Source organism: Homo sapiens, chromosome 15 (assembly GCF_000001405.40).
Source record: "Homo sapiens chromosome 15, GRCh38.p14 Primary Assembly".
Taxonomy (NCBI): Eukaryota; Metazoa; Chordata; class Mammalia; order Primates; family Hominidae; genus Homo; species Homo sapiens.
This window is the reverse complement of record NC_000015.10, coordinates 75256479-75274977: the sequence shown is the minus strand read 5'-3', so window position 1 is coordinate 75274977 and position 18499 is coordinate 75256479. Positions and strand designations below refer to the sequence as shown.

The window sequence follows — 18499 nt, the reverse complement described above, 5'->3', positions numbered from 1 at the left end:
TGCCTGGACACCAGCCTCAAGTAGGGATGGTGGTAGGAAAGGCACTTGTGGCCACATGTGGGCACCTAAGCATGGGACAGAGGGGTATCATGCCCCAAAGAAATCACAGAGGCCAAGAGCTTAAGCATATGTGACACCATCAATAAATCCCCTTGTCCTGGGTCACATCAGTTAAGTCAGAGCCTACCCTGACCCTGAAGCTGCAGCTCAGTCTGGTTGAGACTCACAAAGAGATGTTAGTGCTGGGCAGGGGGCCTGGAAGACTCCTGGGGTGAATGGAAGTCAGTGCCCTTGGGTGCTAGTATCTGTCTTCCCGGCCACCGCTAGATCAGGCTTCTGAGCCTGTTGGCTGTCAGGGCTGGACTGTGCCCCATAGGCACCATGGCAGTCCCAATGAAATCCACCAGGTGTCACTAGGCAGCATAAAGGTAACAGGCCTGGAAGGTCACCAACAGCCCAGCTGGACATGCTCAGACAACTCTGGGGCTCCTCATTCAGTGGCACAAACTCCAGGACCCAGTGAGGGAAAAAGGAACACACCAGGCTGAGCAGTATGGCTAAATCCATTTATTCCAAAATGAAAAGCAAAATAAACGGGAGTCGCATCACCAGGGAGCCACAACCCCATCCCCGCCTCCTTCCTCTGCCCCATGCTATCAATAAATAAGTTTCCCAGCCACAAATAATGATTAGAACCTCCTCCTCATATGCCAGCTCCAACCTCTGCTAGGTACGATACAGGGGGTGGCCCTACCCCCTGGAATATACAAAATGTTACACAGATACTATATGTACACTGGGGCCTTCCCAGCAGCCCGTGCCCTCACCTGCTCTACAGTTAGCCCCATTGTCCCTGCCTCAGCTGCCTCTCTGAATAAGAAGATGGGAGCCCCCTGAGGGAAAAGTTGCTTTGGTGAGGGTAGGGAGGCCATCAGGCCGCCTCCAAACAAACCGACTCCACCAGCCTCTGGCTCTTAAATAACAATCATCATCATCCAGAAATCTAAGGACTCAGCCCTGGTCAAGGTGGCAAAGGGTCTGTTTGTCTCTCCCCATTAGACAGGGGTCTTGTCTTGCTACCCTAATGATAAAGGGGTAGGAAGGGATGGTAGGGACACGATGGCGGCAGACTCCAGCCCCACTTCTCCAGGCTTATGCTGACAGAGGCCTGCTTTTATTTATTTTTATTTATATCCCATGACTTATTTTTTAATCCCGTAACTTCTTTTTCATAATACTTTTTTTAAACTTTTCATAAAACTTTAAATACTTTTTTCACAACTTTTTTTGCCACGACTTTTCCACATTTTTTATCCCATAACTTTTTCATCCTACAACATTTTCTAAATCCCATAACTTCTTTTTAGTTTGTATTCTTTTAATAAACACACTTGCATAGTTAATTACAATTTTGTAAAAATAAAAACTGATTATCTCATGCCAAGCGTGCCCAGCATTTGCACAGTCTCAATACCTGTAATACTATAGTTTTCAAGACACACAAAATTTTAAGGCAAAAACAGCACTTTGCAACAATTTAATAATTTATTACATTACAGTAGCATCACAGTAGCAGTCAACAATGCCACTTTAGGCAACAGTGTTTCAGTATTTCTATTATACATTCTGTTTACAAGAATTCATAAACTGGTAAAAGTCATTCTAAGAAAACTTGGCAAATAAAGCCTTGCATTGGAATTGGCATTTCTTTCTCTACTTTTCCTTCCCCCAGTTTCTTTCTTTCAAACTACAGTATTCATATTTTAAAGTGTTTTAACTTATTTCAAAACATTAAGATAGCAGTTACATTTTTGAATAGTTATATTCTTTTAAAATGACTCTTTAAGATAAAGTTTTAGAGAAACTATATTATGCATAGGGCTGATTTATATTTTCACATTTTCTAAATATCAGCTTTGGTTTTAGAACTGACTTGTTTTCATTTCTGGAAAACCCATCAGGTTAAACAAATACTTTAAAAATGATTATATATTGCAATCTTTAAATAGATTTTTAATTCTTTACTTCCTACAGAAATTCAAATTTATTCAGTTGAACCCACACTTTAAAATTCTATGTTTCTGATTAAACTCTACCCTTCTAATGTTGCCTTCTAAGCAAATTGAAAGCTGCCTTAAACTGAATGAGGAAGAGAACAAATACTTGGCTGAATGAGGTATTGCAAAGGACCACATGCACTTTGAAGAAAGACTTAAGTTATTGTTATATGATTTACATGCTATTTAATTTTTCTTAAATATATGACAGAATACCTACACAAAGAGTGGTATTTCAGTTAATATAGTACATTCATTTTCCAGACTGACATTCAGCTTAAATATGCCGGTGTGTGATTTAATCCACAGGTACCTGATGAACACATTATTGTCAGATTGGTTGCAGGTGCTAAAGGCTAGCTGAAGATCATTCCTAGTCATTTATATTTATCAGGGTAAAAGTGAAGTGATTTGAACTATAAAAATACCTTTGAAATAATTTATCAATGTATTAGGTAAACCCAGTTTCAGAATTATAAAGAAAAACTGTTAGACCAAATAAGGTGGCTAATTAACAGTGGTATGATTTCTAGCCCGAGGGTCTAAATTGGACTCAAACTGTCTTTAAACTGAACTCAAAGAATGCAAAAGTGGCAAGTTCAGAAAATAAAAGGCAAGAACAGGACTTGAAGTCCATTTTAAACCCTCGGGCTAGAAATCGTCCTACTGTTAATTAGCCACATTCGTTGGTCTAACAGTTTTTCTTTATAATTCTGGAACTGAGTTTATCTAATACATTGATAAATTCATACAATTTGGAAGAGTCAGTTGAAGTCACAAGGACTTAATATTTGCACTCTTTCACTGAATGCAGGCACATCTGTTATTCCATCTGTAAAATCGTATTATTGCTCTCCTATTAATGTCATATGTATAAAAGTATCATGAGGATGCCAAATGCTAAAAATGGAGATGGTCTAGTAACTAGAAATGCCCACCCCAGGGAGCGCACACACATCTCTCCCTGCATCCTAATACTGTGACGTATTTTGGAACACAGACATTAGAACTTCATGAACTTTTAGCTGTTGATTCTTTCCCAAGCATCTTAAAGTTATGATTTAGGCAATGTATGACTGAAATAATTCACTCATCACGTATAGGCACATTAACATAAATATGGCACAAAATATGCCTCTAACTGAAACTGAGAGGTATAAAAACATATTTCACTCTTTGTGAAGAACTTTGTGAGGAAACATAAGTCTGTCATTGTATAGACACTTTTTCTCATAATACTTGGACATTCACAAACATTAGATTGCACTGCAGCTTGTAAACATTTTAAGTTGCATAAACTTCGCCTTGATTTTCATGTGTAGTATAATACTGTCTACTAAAACTCCTTTTTGTTTCAACTAAGTACTCTCACATATATTGGTTTATAATAATGGTTGTTATTATTTTTAAAGTGTTTTCCATTCAAAGAAAAGAAGTAAATTCCTATGTCAGAGTAACTAATGTGGCTGAAGAATAGGTATTAGCCAGAGAGGTCTAGATGATAAAATCAATCTTCTAGCCTCAAAGAAGCTCCATGAACATAGAGGAAGGCCAGGTGTCACACAGCTTTCCTTCACTCAAATTCATTCTTGACTAGAGCCTGTATGCCTCTTCCAGGGACATTTAAACTCTTAAAGGATTTCTTATGATCTTCACTAAATACCTTAAGAAGAATGCCAACCAGTGCCCTTTTGTGTACTGGGACATATACTCGTGATTAAAACAGGTAACATGAACTCTGACTTTAAAATGTATTGTAGATATAAATGCTCTAAGCTAGAAAAGGTTTTCCACATCCACAGTCAATGATGGGAGCCTTTCATTCCTCAGAAATAATCCCTTTTTAGGTCATCAAGAAAGGGTACAACTGCTGCAGCTCATGATGCAATATCTTCATGAGCCCAGAGCACATACAAATCCTAAGGGAACTACCATAGTACAGCGCTCATTCTTGGCACCAGAACAAATGAAACACACTCTATCCTGCACACACCTGCCAGAGCAGGCCACTTTCCTCTTCTGTGAGATTTAAAAAGCTCCCCAAAATGTTATTACTCCCATCCCCAATACACAGAAAATAGGGAAAAGGCTGTTTCCAGTTCTTGGCCTTTAAACAACTCTAAATGTCAGTACTCACAGTGGCATATTACAAAGTAATAAACAGTGCTCAATTGAGGGCAAACCACATATTGAGCTAATGAAGAGCTCACTGTGGTTAGGATTCGATCAAACGTAATAGCAGAACATAAGCACATTTTATCTGAATTCTGGAATGAATATACATGCTGCAATAACATTAAAAAAGCATGGCAGCCTGTTCCAAACCAGCCAGAATAGTTTTGTGCAAATTAGTGGGTCTTTGTGTGTTTGAATTCCCACCACCTAAGGGCAAACTCGATATGCATACTAATGACCTACAATTATCAAATTAAAAATAAAAATGCTAAAGGATGCCAGAAAGAACATCAGGGAAAGACCAACTCTCCCTTAACTTTTTACAAATAAATTTAAACGGTAAATTAGAAACACAAATAAATGTGAGTGGCTCTAGCATTCAAATGGAGTAAATGAATTGTGTAGGAGATGAACCCCGTAACTTTTTGTTGTTGTTGTTTTAAATTTCTTGACCAGCTCTTAGAAGATGATGATGTTTATCTCCCTGTTCTCGGCTGCCTGGTAGAAGAATGGCACGCAGGGTTTGCTGGGCAAGCCTGGGTGCTCCTAGGTGTCCTGCATGACAGGAGACAGCTGCACGATCTGCTGTACCGGGGGGTTGTCATGGGGAGAACCCTCCCTGGCCGCTCCTGGTGCAGGCTCCACGTTGTTGTCCAGGCTCACTTCATAAAAATCTTCGGAGAGAGGGAGGCGGGGGTCTGAGCACAGTGCGAGCCTCCCCTGCCCCTGCCTGCCCACCCCGCCTGAGAGCTCTACTCACCATCCTGCTCACCGGCAGCCCCAAGTTCCTGGGGGGCTGGGGCCCCTGGAGTGGGCTCATCAGCAGGGTTCTGGGCAGCGATGAGGAATTTGCCATGCCCCTCATGGTTGCCCACAAGGGGCAACACCAACTCTTGCAGCTCCAGCAGCTTCACCTGAAGGGAGGGGTGCTCAGCTCCCACCCTGGAGCCTGCACCAGTGCCCATGCCCACCCCCAACCCCGCAGAGATGTTGCACGCCCTACCTTCATCTCCTCCTCCTTCTGGGCCAGCCTGATGACATCCTCCATCTCCTGGTGCCGCGTGTTTGGCACTGCCCCCTGGCTTTCATATACGGTGAAGGACTCTCCTGTGAGAGGACACAGCTCAGACACTAGGGTCCCTCCGACGGCCCTGCAGCTCCCCGTGCCCGTGCCCTGGCCTCCCGCTCACTCATGCCGTCTGTCACTCCAGAAGGCTGGACGAATCCAAGCTCTCGTCTCTCCACCTGCTCCGTCCCGTCCGCCTTCTCCTTCGGGAGGTCCATAAAGCTGCTCTGGAGCCAAAATAATGGGGTCACACCTCGGGAGTGACCTGTTCTGCCCCGCCCCCACTTTTCTTGGCCCATGCCAGGACTCACTCCCTTTCAGCTTCACCATGGCCTCCTTCAGGGCCCGGTAGCTCTCCCCACACACAAACTCATCTCCAGTCCTCCCTGGGGCTGGGGCCTCTGCCTCTGGCTCCTTCCAGGCCAAGGCCACCAGATGAGCCAGGTGCAGGCGGCACAGCCTTCGCACCTTCCGCTGCCCACATAGCCGTGCCTGCTCCTCCTGGGAACTGGCTCCAGCGGAGTTGAAAAATGCCACTTGAAGGCAAGAGGTGAGTATTCTTGTAGGGGCATAGACAGAACAAATGAGGCAGGGAGGTGGAGAACAACCCCTTCCCTTGGGGCCTCAGAGAGTGCACCTGTTGGTCACAGGTGACAAAGTGTCTGACCACTGGCTCCCGGAAGGGGTGAGGGGCCAGAGAAATCAGAAGGTGGGAAAACCAAGAGCATAACGGGCTCTGGGAGGGACCACAGAGGAAGGTGGCAAAGCGGGGCAGGGAAAGTCAGGCTCACCGTGGCCTCCCGGCTCTCCAGGTCCTCTGGGATGTTTGGCGTGGGCCGAGGCGCCTCCTCCTCCTCACTGTCCAGATGTTGTCCTCCATCTCCTGTGGGGAGGTGGCCAGAGGGGTCCTCAGACAACCCAACAAGGAAGGTACTGTGGGCCTACCTCTGTCCCCACCCTGACTGTGTAACCCTGAGCCAGCCTCTCCCCAGAGGGGAGTGAGCTGCTGTTCTTTATTTTTCCTTTTAAGAACCAAGATCTTGCTATATTGCCCAGGCACAGTCCCACTACCGGTCGGTGCGGGAGTCCTGACCTGCTCCCTTTCTGATCTGGTCCAGTTCATTCATCCTTAGGCAACCTGGTGGCCCCCTGCTCCCAGGAGGTCACCATATTGATGCTGAACTTAGTGCGGACACCCGGTTGGCATAACGACCAGCTGTTCTAAAGGTCTCTTCCAACCCCTCAATCCTATGCTGCTAACAGTCCCCCCTTCCTCCTGGGGCTCTCTCCTCTTCCTCTGAGTGGTCTCCTGTACCTTCTCCAGGGAGAGCCACGAGGCTTAGCTGGGTCTCTAGCTGTTGGTTCCGCTGGCTGGCAGCTTCTAGGTGCTCCTAAGGGGACGGGAAACAGAGTGAGAAGGCACGGAGGTTGCCAGGTCATCCCCCTCGGGGCCCCGTCCTCAGCAACTCCCTCCCCTGGGTCTCCTGCAACTTTTGGCCGGCCATCTCAGCCACCGCTTTGCCCCAAGCTTCCTGCTGCTGCAGCTGGTCCACGAACTGGGTCTGCAGCAGTAACTGCCTGTGCAGCGCCTCCTTCTCAGAGGTCAGCTGCTGATAGGTGGCCATGTACTGCTGCAGGTGACCCAGGTACTAGTCTCGCTGCTGCTGCAGACTCTGAGACTCTTGGCTCTTCAGCTCCACCTGCAGGAAGACCCTGGGCATGAGGGCACATGGTGGCTGGCTTCCAGATTCTGGGCCCATTAATAGGGTAGCGAGGGCACCGTGGGGCTCTGTCACCTGCCCAGGACCCTGGTCCCTTGCTCCAGGCCTAAGAGGCTTCCTCCCTTGCCTAGAACCCCATACCTCCTTCCCCAGCCTCAAATCTCATGTCCTTCTTCCCACCATTTAAACTGTAGGCCACAGACTGGTGGAAAAGCAGAGGGAGCCAACCACCATCTGCTAAGTGTGCTACATGCCTAATGCTTTCCAGGTATTCTCTCATTCAATCCTCAGCACCTCTGCAAGGAAAATGCTAACTTCCTTTTGAAGTCACAGAAACAGAGACTTAGAGATGAACAGTAGTTGAATGGTGACCAGTGGAACCCAGGCCAGAATCCAGTTTGAATCTAAGGAGCCTTTTTTGTTTTGTTTTGAGACAGTGTCACTCTGTGGCCCAGGCTGGAGTGCAGTGGTGCAATCTCAGCTCACTGCAGCCTCCACCACGTGGGCTCAAGCGATTCTCGTGCCTCAGCCTCCTGAGTAGCTGGGATTACAGGCATGCGCCACCATGCCTGGCTAATTTTTTGTTGTTGTTGTTGTAATTTTAGTAGGGGTGAGGTTTCGCCACGTTGGCCAGGCTGGTCTCAAACTCCTGACCTCAAGTGATTCTCCTGCCTCAGCCTCCCAAAGTGCTGGGATTACAGGTGCGAGCCACCGTGCCTGGATAAGGAGCCTCTTGTACCACTGTCTCTTCCCCTGTGATTGGGGGCTCCATGTCTCTAGCTGGGATGATGATGTCCAGACCTGGGAGGAGCCCAGGGCTACCCACCTCTAAAAGTCAGAGGGCAGGAAGCAAGAAACAGTCATAGAGCTGCACTGGAGGGTGCTGGGGTCACCTGCCTCCCAGCTGGAGCTGCCTTTGGCCTGGCACCTCCCCTCCCCAGAGGCTGGTGCCCGCCTCCCAGCCCTTCTTGGATGGGGTGGAGGTTACCATCTCCTTCACCTCGTCTAGCTTCTCCTGCAGCTCCTTTACTTGCTGCTCCAACTGCAGTGCGCTCTTTTTCTCGTTGTTCTGGACAGAGAGAAGCAATCAGTGGCCATCCACTGCAGCTGGAGACACCAGACCTTGGTGTCTGCCTCCCATATCACCAGGAAGGGTGGAGGCAGGTTAGAAAAATCATCCCTTCTCCCCCACAGCCATCAGAGCAGAGCCCGATGAGCTGTAGCTCACAGGTGCCTTTAGAAGTAGCATTTCATGTGAGGGCTACACTGGCCCATTTTACAGGTGGGGAAACAAAGGCCTGGAGGGATAGGGATGAGGGCAGGCTCCCCAGGTGGGGCAACCCACCAGATCCTCGAAGCTGCACTGTGGCTCGGCCAGCTGCTTGTCGAGCTTGTGGTTCTGGGAGAGCGCGAGCCTCTCCTCCTGCTTTTGTAGCCTCTCCTCCTTCTTCCACAGCCTCTCCTCCTGGTCCCACAGCCTCTTTTCCTGCTTTTGCAGCCTCTCCTCCTCCTTTCGCAGCCTCTCCTCCTGTTTGCGTAGCCTCTGCTCCTGCTTTCGCAGCCTCTCACCCTGCTCCTGTAGCGTCTTCTGCTGCTCCCGAAGCCTCTCGTTTTGTTCACACAGTCTCTCCTGCTCCCGCACTCTCTGCGCCTCCTGCTCTCGGAGCATCTCCTCCTGCTCCTGGAGTCTCTGCTTTTGTTCCTTGCTAAGGAGACTCAAGGCCTGATTGTTTTCCACCTGGGACTGGAGCTTTCCCTCCAGACCTTCCACCTCCTGCCTCAGGTGTTTGGCCTCATCTTGTAGCTGTTCCACCACAGAGGTCACTGCTGGGGGTGCCAGGGATGGGGGCTCAGCTGAGAAATGAAGCAGACAATAAGGGCCTCTGGATTCCCCAACCCCTCTACCCACATCCCCCTCAAAAAAAAAAAAAAACCTCCTCTTGATGCACAGCTCCTCTCAGGCTTCCCAAACTTGGCCTCACTGCTAATCATTCCTCGCACCCAATGGTAGCCAATTTCCAAGCCACTTTCACATAGAGAGCACTGTGGGTGGCTGACAACGGGCACTCCTCCCTCTTTGCTGATGGGGACCCTGAGGCTCATGGAGATGACAAAACTTGCCGTCTCCTGGCACAGACCTCTTTCCCTCTGCCTCAAAGCCCTTCCACCCACCCACCTCCCTGGGGCATTCTAAGCCACCCCCACAGACCTCTGATGCCAGTCCTGCTCCGAGGTCACACCAGCCCCATCTTACCCATCTGGTTTTTGAGTTCGGACAAGCTCCTCTCCAGCTCCTGTATCCGATGTATGTCACGCTTCTTCTCTTCCTTCAATGTTCGAGCCTGCCCAAAGCACAGGGGAAAGGGCCCTGGAGAGAGGGGCTGGTGGCTGGACAGGCTACCATCTCATTCTCTGTCCCCATCTCCACAAAGCCCAGACCCATGACCACCTCTGGCTGTACTATTCCCATTTTACAGATGCCCAGAAAGATCCAGTGACCTATCTAAAGTGGGGGCTGAAGGGTCAGACCTCACCTCCACCGACATTTTCCACATCCTCTCCTGCCACCGGGCCCTCTCTCCTTTTATGTGTTTAGCATATTCGTCCCGCTCTAGCTGGACTTGTTTTAGTGACTCTGTCACCTGCAAGAAATGGGCACAGAAGTTAGGAAGGGCTGTCACTGGTCCTCACCTGCTCCTGGCCACCTGGGGTCATCTTCCTTCCACATCCCTCCCTCTGCAAAGCCTCACCTGTGTCACGTGTGCGTTCAGCAGCGCCCGCTCCTTTATGGTCTGCTGTAACCGCCGCTGGAGGACCGCTTCTCTGCAGCTCGAGGACTGGATGGTGAAGAGTGAGAAGTTTTGATCTGGGGAGCCCGGGCAGTGCCCCTTAAAAGGGCTAGGGCTAGGCTCAATATACAACTCGGTTAGTAAAGGTCAAGGCATTTCCAAGCCCGTGGCCTGGTTATTAAAAGAACTCAGTAAAGTTGGAAGGGAGAGGGAAAGAGATCGAATTTACAGCTGGCTAACAGAGGCCCAGAGAGATCAGATAATATTGCTATTGTTATTACTGTTATTACTACCACTGTTTGAACCGTTATGGAGTGCTTCACCAGGTTCCATGCTAGCAATCCCATTTAATCCTCACAACCACCATATGAGACGGTTACTAGGATTACCTCTATTGTGTAGATGAAAAACATCGAGTGTTCAAGGTTAAGTGCTTGCCTAAGATCACTTAGACAGAGCTGGGATTTGAACACCCAGGTCTATCCTATTCTCTAAGCCCATTTTTCTTGCTGGGGGTGGGGACACAGATAGGAAGGGGGAAATTAATCTTTTGTTCACTTTTTGAAAGGATGATACATTCATATAGTCCAAAACTCAGAAGGTACAGAAGGGAGGTGTCTCCAGGCACCCTGTTACTCTCTCCTGAGTTTTTTATGAATGCTTGCAGACATGTTTTTGTATATTATCATAGTACACACACACACACACACACACACACACACACACACACCCCTTTCCTCTCTCTACAGAAATGGTAACATACTAAATGTGCTCTTCTGTACCTTCACAGAACAACTACCCAATACCCCACCTAGGACTTGGCCAAGGCCACAGCCAGGAAAGGGCAGGGCAGGCACTTGGCCTCTGAGCTCTGCATCCAGTGCTCACTCCCCACAGTGCCCCCCAACTCACCCACAGCAGCTGACTCAGCCCCAGGCTGCCTCTAACAACCATACACAAAAGTAGTGAGAAATGACCATGCTGCCTTCTGGGCAGGACACTCCATCCTGCAGAAGGGACCTTTAGGCTCACTCCTCTATCTGGGAAGCCAGGCTGCCAGGGGATGGGGCAGCTGGTTGGACTCACCCTGTCCTCTTCCTGCTGCTGTGTAGACACAGCAGAGAGAGCCCGCTCCAATTCTTGAATACGCTGTAAGGAGTATTGCAGGCGGCCAGCCAGATCCTTGGACTCTTCTGTAATGAGAGAGGTTGAGATGGGGCCCAAAAGACTCCCCCTAAAGACCTGTCAAAGTGCCAGGTTGAAGGATGACGGGATGCCCAGATTCCCACCTTCGAAGTGTCGGGCAGCACGTTTAGTATGGTAAAGGGTGGTCTTCAAGTCTGCCTTTTCCAATGTGAGGATGTTGATTGTCTGGAATTGAACGTTTGGGAGAAAAGCCAAGGAAATGCTGAAAGAGAAGGAAAGAAACATTCTCCAGAGGACAGGAGAAAGCTCCCCACCCTCCACTCACCTCTAACTGCTCCATTTGTGCTTTGTGTATTTCATTGTTTGTTTTCTTTGCCTGTAGGAAGAGGAAGACAGAGCTCTTATCACAGGGAGGCAGAGATGGCACAGCAAGAGACATGCCCCCAGAATGCCACCAATGCCCCAGGACAGGCCCACCCATGGGACCAGGTTATCAGGGACCCTATGGGGATGGGGTGGAATCTGATGGGTGAGCCTTCTTCCCCAGGCTGGGAGTGGGCAAGATGAGACTGGCGCCTCTGCATCTGAGTGTCCCCCAAACCCAGCAGTCATGTTGTGAGCAAAGAAATCACGTTACTTCTTCCAGCTGATGTTCCACTTGTTTCTTCTGCTGTTTCTGTGGGGAGAGTCAAATTCAGGTGACTGAGAGTGGCCCCCTCAACTCTATTCCCCAGACCTGGAAGCGGTAGGCAGGGTCCAGGAATGGATTTTAAAGGCAACATTCTCAGAACCAATGGCAACACAAACTGGTCAACCCTCCTCAAGCTCCCAAGGACAGAGGACTTGGGTCTTTGTTGGTTTTTGCCCACAGCCACAGAACTCAAAGCCTGAATCTGGATTCTCTTGAAAGGACAGTAACATAAACCTCTAGAGAGGGAGTCTCAGGAAGGCCCACCCTTCTGCCAGCTTGTGATTTAGAAAGGTGCCTTCATTCAACAAACATTTACTGAACACATACGGGCCAGCTACGGTTCTTCACAGCAGATATAGGATGGAAAAGGACAGACAGGAGCCCTTGGCCCTCAGGTTTCCATTCTAGGGGCCTTTAAATCTCAGACTCTCAGAGCTAACAGAGAACTTTGATGCTCTACCTCCTCCAGAAACACAAGCCCAAGGAGGACAGGTGGCTTGTCCAGACTCAAAGCAAATTAGGGACTGAGTCAGGGCAGAAATACAGGGCCCCTGACAACCAGTCAGGCTAGCGCTTCCCTGAGAGGTGACAACCTCAGGGCGTGTGTGGCAAGGACTGGAGCAGGGGTGTCTGGAGAAGAGAGAGTCGGCAAAGAGGGCAGTGACAGAAGAGCCATGCTGCGTGCTCCTTGCTCTGGGGTCCCTCCAGGTGAGGCCTGGGTGCTCCAGCTCCCCATTTGCCCTTGGCACCAGGGGCCCCCAGCCCCTTTCTTCAGGGCCCCAAGGGGAAACTAAAGCCCAGGATTGGCAGCATGGAATCAGGGGACCCCACTGGACTTACCAATGATTCTATGTTTTCATTGAGCTGATTGATTGTCACTGAGCTTGACTCCAGGGCTACTGCTAGTTCTTGGTACTGGCTCTGAGGCACATGCAGAGAGGAGGAGTTGGAAGAGGATTGTGGGGAGAGGTAGAGAGAACAATCATTAGGGCTGGGGTGTGTGTGGGCTGTCTCAGCTGGCAGAGGGTCACCCAGCCCCCACTGTGAGAGGAGGTTGGAGGGCTGGCCTGCAAAGTCACTGCACCTCAGCCCAGGGCCTCTTACTTCCAGATCCTTCAGGGTAACAGATGATGCAGGAGTAATAAAAATGAGAAATTAAAAAAAAACTTACATGGGAAATAGTTATGTATATGGAGAAAGTATAAAAACAGCAAGGAGCCGGGCACAGTGGCTCACACATGTAATCCCAGCAGTTCAGGAGGCTGAGACAAGTGGATCACTTGAGGTCAGGAGATCAAGATCAGCCTGGCCGACATGGTGAAACTGCATCTCTACTAAAAATACAAAGATTAGCCAGGCGTAGTGGCAGGTGCCTGTAATCCCAGCTACTCAGGAGGCTAAGGCAAGAGAATCACTTGAACCCGGGAGGCAGAGGTTGTAGTGAGCCGAGATCGCACCACTCCACTCCAGTCTGAGTGACAGAGTGAGACTCTGTCTCAAAAAAAAAAAAAAAAAAAAAAAGAGCCCAAATCCCACATGCCTGCTCTGTACGTTATTCCCAGATTACTTTTAAACTTTTAGGCATCACCATTTCCAAGATAATAAAAGACGCGGGGAAGGAAAAAACCCAATCAATCAAGCAGGTGAAGAAGCAGACAGAAACAGGCTGAAGGTTAATGGCAGCAACATAAAACAAGGCAGAGGCCAAGCATCCCCCAAGCCAGAGAAGCCTCAGGGCCATGCACAGCTGTAGACAGCAAGCCAGAGAGGGGTCTTGGCACTGCCTCACCTTCCACTTGTCCAATGGGGGAGCACTACCCCATTGGAGTGGTTAAGGTTGGACACCCGCACCTTCAGAATGTCCTGAATCTACAGGAGGTGACAAGGGAAAAACAAGGGCAGGGGGTGAAAGACAGAAGTGGCTTAGAGAGAAGCAAGAAAGTCAGGGTAGGAGGAAGATGTGGGTTCAGGAAAAGGAAACGCTGAAGAAGAGCAGAGGAGATTAAAACCATGGCCTGTGCCATTCTTCCAAATGGCCACCTGCTGCCTTGCCAGGGGCAGGAAAAAATAGATGGAAAAGTCCCCCGAGTGACGCAGTCACAGAGTGGAGTCAGCTGACCAATGCAGATCTTAATACGCTCACTGGACCCCTCTCCTCAGGCCCAGGACATGGGCGATGAATCTGGTAGAGCTCCAGACCTCCACCTCCATTAAAAAAAAACAGACTCCTGAGTAAGAGTTCACTTGAACTAAGGGGACTTCAGCTAAAAAACAAGTTTGAAAGACACTGATCTTATCCAGTATCATCTTACAGAGGAGGAAACTGAGGCCCAGCAGAAGAAGTGATTTTTCTGTGGTCACCCAGCAAGCTGGTGGCAAGTTAGACCTTCTCTTGCTCCTAGTGCCTTGGGCTCTCCTCACCACACCCTGGGCCCCCTTCAGTGACTCCTAGAGGGACAGCCTGATGGCAAGTGGCTGTACTCATTAGCCCAGCTTCCCCTTGCGAGTGGGGATCAGGAAAATCAAACAGCAATGACCATTTCCTGGGTATCCTGGGTGTTTACAGCAGGCCACGTACTAGGGGTTAACATGAAAACAACAACAATAAGGAATCTCATTTAAACTTCACAAATGGAAGTCAAACAATACTACCCCTATTTCACAGATGTGAAAAGAGAGGCTCAAAGAGCTCAAGCAACTTGCCATAAATCAGATCGCTAGCAGATGAAGAAGCAGGATTCAAACCCAGAATTCTTAACCAGTACCCAGCAATCTCAACAATTACCCTCTACTGCCCCTTGGGCCCCCTGTCCCCAGGAGCCTGGCCAGCCAAGACTCACATCCCCAGGTGAGTGGCCACCACCGGAAGTGGTTGTCTCAGGGCTACTGTCAGTTTTTTTCTTTTTTGTCTTTGCTCCTGCTGGAATACCAGGGCTCTTCCTTTGCTGATATTCTTTTAGCTGTGGGAAAGAAGAGCAGTAATACACATGAGAACTACCAGCCCTTACAGCCACACCCTCCTTACAGTTTTTGCAAAATACTCTTATACACCATCTGATTTAATGCCACCAACAACTGTACAAGGTGTTGTCACAATCACTTAAGTGACTGAGAGGGATGGATATTATGGCTAAAAAAAAAAGTGTGGGGGGGCAATAATGGAACTTAAACTCAGTCTTCTGACTCCAAGCTCTGGGGTTTTGCCATGAATCAGCAGCTGCCGGGGACCAAAACCAGACGCAGAGGTAGAAAAGTAAACATTACATAGGCATGAACTACACGCTGTGTGGTTTAGAGTCATACATCCTCAAATGTCTGTTAGTGTGAAGAAGTGCACCAGTATCTCTCAAACTTTTATATCAATGTGTCCTCATGGCAGAAGGCAGCTTTTTTGTTAAATCTGGGAATTTATCAGAAAGAGGACAACCCAAGTCTCATTTCAGAGAGAAGTCTGGTATACTCTTAGAAACCTATGTGAGGGTCACCCCTAAGTACATTAATGTTTTTTCTCTCTCAAGAGAATCAAGGGAAACTGATGCTTCAGAAAGATCTCCCACATTTATCCTGTGGCACTCAATGTACCCTAAGTTGAGATGATATGAGGAAGATTCAAGCTGTCAAGTTCAGTTTCCCAAGACCTATTCCACAGAAGATGAGCAAATCTCACTTCAGAGACCACTGACTGAAGGGCAGTCTGGTCCCAGAACCGTGGAGAATTAGAATATGAGGTGGAGAACTCGGAAAAAAATGTTAAAGTCTCTCTGGAGAGTAGAAGCCTGGGAGAAAACCAAACCAAACCCATTCTCCCATTACCACCCAGAGATACTGTCAACGTTTTGAGCTCACAGGGGAAGTGTAGGCTTTTCACACTGTCGATGTCTATGTGAAGGGAGTAAGGCAGCCTGAAACCTCTTGCTCCTAGGTCCCATGGTCCCCATTTCCCTTCTAGCTGGAAATTTGTGCTGTGACCAGAGGAACCAGAAATGGGGTGAGAATGCTTAGGGGACTGGGTTATAAGATCAAAGGCCGGTCTTGCAGCAGTAATGACAGTTCCTAGGAGGACTGTGACATCACTACATTCCACTCCTCCTGGGGGTGGGGGAAACCTCATCAGTGCAATGGCTGAGTTGCCGATCCACGATGGGGGAGGGGGGACGTGGGGCTGGGACCCAGGTCCTTGGAGGTGCCAGCCCAGAGAGCCCAGGGAGGTCGGGCTTGGGTCAGCAGGAGGGGAGAGCAGAGTCTGCTCAGGGAACCCCAGGAGTCACCAGCCCAAAGTCACCCCGGGATGACTGGCGATGCTGGGGGGTTGGGGCTGGGGGACCCAGGTCCTTGGAGAGGTGAGCCCAAAGAACCCAGGGAGGTTGGGCTTGGGGTGGCAGGACGTGAGGGCTGAATATGGAGCAGGTATCCCCAGTAGTCATCCGCCCAAAGTCACCGCAGGGTGATTGGCGAGGGCAGAGGCTGGGCTGCTTGCTGAAGGGGCGGGGCTGACTGACAAGACTTTGGTGGGGGGAGCCCAGAGGCGCCGGGGTAGGGGGGCCCAGCCCGGTGTGCCTCAGGAGTGGTATGGACTCTGGGAGTGGTCTTGTCATCAGAGGGGATCTCTGGCTAGGTTGGGGGGCCATGACCTTTTTCTTGGCTTTTTACCTTTTTCTTGGCTGCTGCCAATTTATTCTGTCGAGATTCTTCTAACATCATGGGGTGGGGAGGGAGGTAGGGTTGGGGCCACATCAGCGAACACCTCCAGTCACCTACAAGGCTGCTGTGTGACTGAGCCAGAGGAGGCGTAACCAGGGCCACACTAGAATGCAGAATAGGGGTGTGGCCTTAATGCTCCAATCCCATTGGTCAATGAGAAAGATGAAAGGGAAAGGAGGCGTGGCCAGGCAGCAGTGTGCCCAGAGGAACCTGTGACATCACAAGGAAAGCTGCCCATGCGACTGCTGTCCCTGCCCACTTGGGGAGAGGGGCGGGGCCTGCCTACTCTGGGAGAGGGGAGGGCTGGTTTTTGCTTTAAAATGTTAAAAATAAACTTTAAAAAAATATGTATTTATACTTTATATATATGTGTGTCAGTGTGTGTGTGTCTACATGTTCCTCCAGAGCTGTCTTCATTATCCAGCTTCTATGCATGGTCTATGATTTTGGCCTACATTTTTCATCTTCAGAGGGAGTATAAGAATTACCAGTATTACCCCAGTGAAGATACAAATCCTATAAAAATGGAAAATCCATAGCATGTTTGATGATTAATGAATGAAGTGGACTATATTATCCAACATCCCAATAAGGTAAAATAATCACAATGATTTCTCGGCTTTGGAAAAAACATTTCTCTTATTCTCCTACATTATTAAGATTTTTTAAAAAACAAGAAACATGTCTAATATCTTTAAAAACACAAAGCTTTTGGGCCGGGTGTGGTGGCTCACACCTGTAATCCCAGCACTTTGGGAGGCCTAGGTGGGTGGATCACCTTAGGTCAGGAGTTCAAGACCAGCCTGGCCAACATGGTGAAACCCTGTCTCTACTCGAAATACAAAAACTAGCCAGGTGTGGTGGTGGGTACCCGTAATCCCAGCTACTGGGGAGGCTGAGGCAGGAGAATCACTTGAACCCGGGAGGCGGAAGTTGCAGTGAGCCAAGGTCACGCCACTGCACTCCAGCCTGGGTGACAGACTGAGACTCCATCTCAAAAAAATAAAATAAAATAGTCAAAAATAAATAAAAACACAAAGCTTTCCATTTAATAAGCACTCAAAGCTCTTTACTGGTTTAAAGCAAATACAAGGCCTATTTTTCTAGAATCACCTGGCCTCTCTAAGCCTTGCAAATGAAACTGAATTTCTCACTTGATACTTGGCTATGACTTGCAATCATGAAAACCAAGAATTGTGTTATGTCACTGTGTATTGATTGTTACCTGAATTCCACACTAGGCTGGGATCAAGGGTTGAATCTTTCATGATTTGCTCCATAACCTGTGAGCTTCTTTTCCTACACCAAACTAAGCTTTGTTCTAGAGTTCTACAATTTACAGTTAGTAGACAAGAGTGGTTCTCAAAAATGTAGTCTCTGGACTAGCAGCAGCAGCAGAACCTGAGAACCTTTTATAAGTGCAAATTCTCAGGCCCCACCCTGGACATGGTGAATCAGAAACTCTGGAGTAGGGCTCAGCAATCTGTGCTGCAGTCATCCCTCCAGGTGTTCAAGAACCTCTGGCATACAGCAGGCAGAAAAATGTGTTTCCTTCTGTAGGTCCAAAGCCAGGGATACCATATGTTCTGTCTTGATATGAAACAATGGCATGCAATTAAAAGACATAAATCTCCTTCCTGCTCCCACCCTCCATCCAATGTGTTTTATTTTTATGAGTTAAATAAGAAAACAAACGGCAATCAGAGATTCAGCCTAAAAAGTATGTTTACAAGTGTCAGTTCTCATCCAGCCTGATCTCACACAATACCATTTACACCCTCTTACCTCTCAAGTTTTTTAAAAAGTGTCTTCACAATGTAAGTCTCGGGCACACTAGCAGTTCTATAATAAAACACCAAGTAGATCAGAATGTCCAAACTTACTAGAGAAGAAAAGTGGAATCACTGGCTGTATTTTCAAGTTGCATTCAACAGGAAATGTAAGTTTTTCATTCTTTTCACCTTCACACTTCAATAGCATTAAATCAGAATACTCCATTCTTCCAAAGCCTCTAGCCAGGCAAAGTTTTACTGTATTACTTCTTGCTTTCAATAGATATAAAGCAGAGTCCTGGTAGGCACATTTTGTATGCCTGCAAAGATGCAGAAGTAAACAGTTCCATCTATTCAATATTAAAACAAAAGTCCTGCAAA

General features: G+C 48.2%; 1 protein-coding gene and 1 pseudogene across 1 annotated transcript, besides 2 other annotated features; both read right to left on the bottom strand.

Moving 5' to 3' along the window:
* Positions 1-1522: 1522 nt before the first annotated feature.
* On the bottom strand, positions 1523-16644 carry GOLGA6C (golgin A6 family member C). The gene is made up of 18 exons (NM_001164404.2): positions 16296-16644; positions 14486-14605; positions 12486-12566; positions 11592-11630; positions 11280-11330; positions 11098-11179; positions 10895-11001; positions 9770-9856; positions 9554-9661; positions 9274-9361; positions 8365-8873; positions 8020-8088; positions 6614-6689; positions 6090-6181; positions 5423-5525; positions 5236-5339; positions 4993-5146; positions 1523-4906 (listed from the first exon to the last, which is right to left on the bottom strand). The coding sequence occupies exons 1-18, from the start codon at positions 16377-16379 to the stop codon at positions 4779-4781; spliced, it is 2082 nt and encodes a 693-aa protein (NP_001157876.1). The 5' UTR covers positions 16380-16644; the 3' UTR covers positions 1523-4778.
* RN7SL489P (RNA, 7SL, cytoplasmic 489, pseudogene) lies at positions 6326-6548 on the bottom strand (annotated as a pseudogene).
* Positions 8245-9108: an enhancer, noted in NCBI's record as "H3K27ac-H3K4me1 hESC enhancer chr15:75558211-75559074 (GRCh37/hg19 assembly coordinates)". NCBI's record gives its function as "activates a minimal SCP1, AML or CMV promoter by ChIP-STARR-seq in naive H9 embryonic stem cells {active_cell/tissue: H9 hESC(naive)}" and the evidence as "EXISTENCE:reporter gene assay evidence [ECO:0000049][PMID:30033119]".
* Positions 15496-16026: an enhancer, noted in NCBI's record as "H3K27ac-H3K4me1 hESC enhancer chr15:75551293-75551823 (GRCh37/hg19 assembly coordinates)". NCBI's record gives its function as "activates a minimal SCP1, AML or CMV promoter by ChIP-STARR-seq in primed H9 embryonic stem cells {active_cell/tissue: H9 hESC(primed)}" and the evidence as "EXISTENCE:reporter gene assay evidence [ECO:0000049][PMID:30033119]".
* Positions 16645-18499: the final 1855 nt, after the last annotated feature.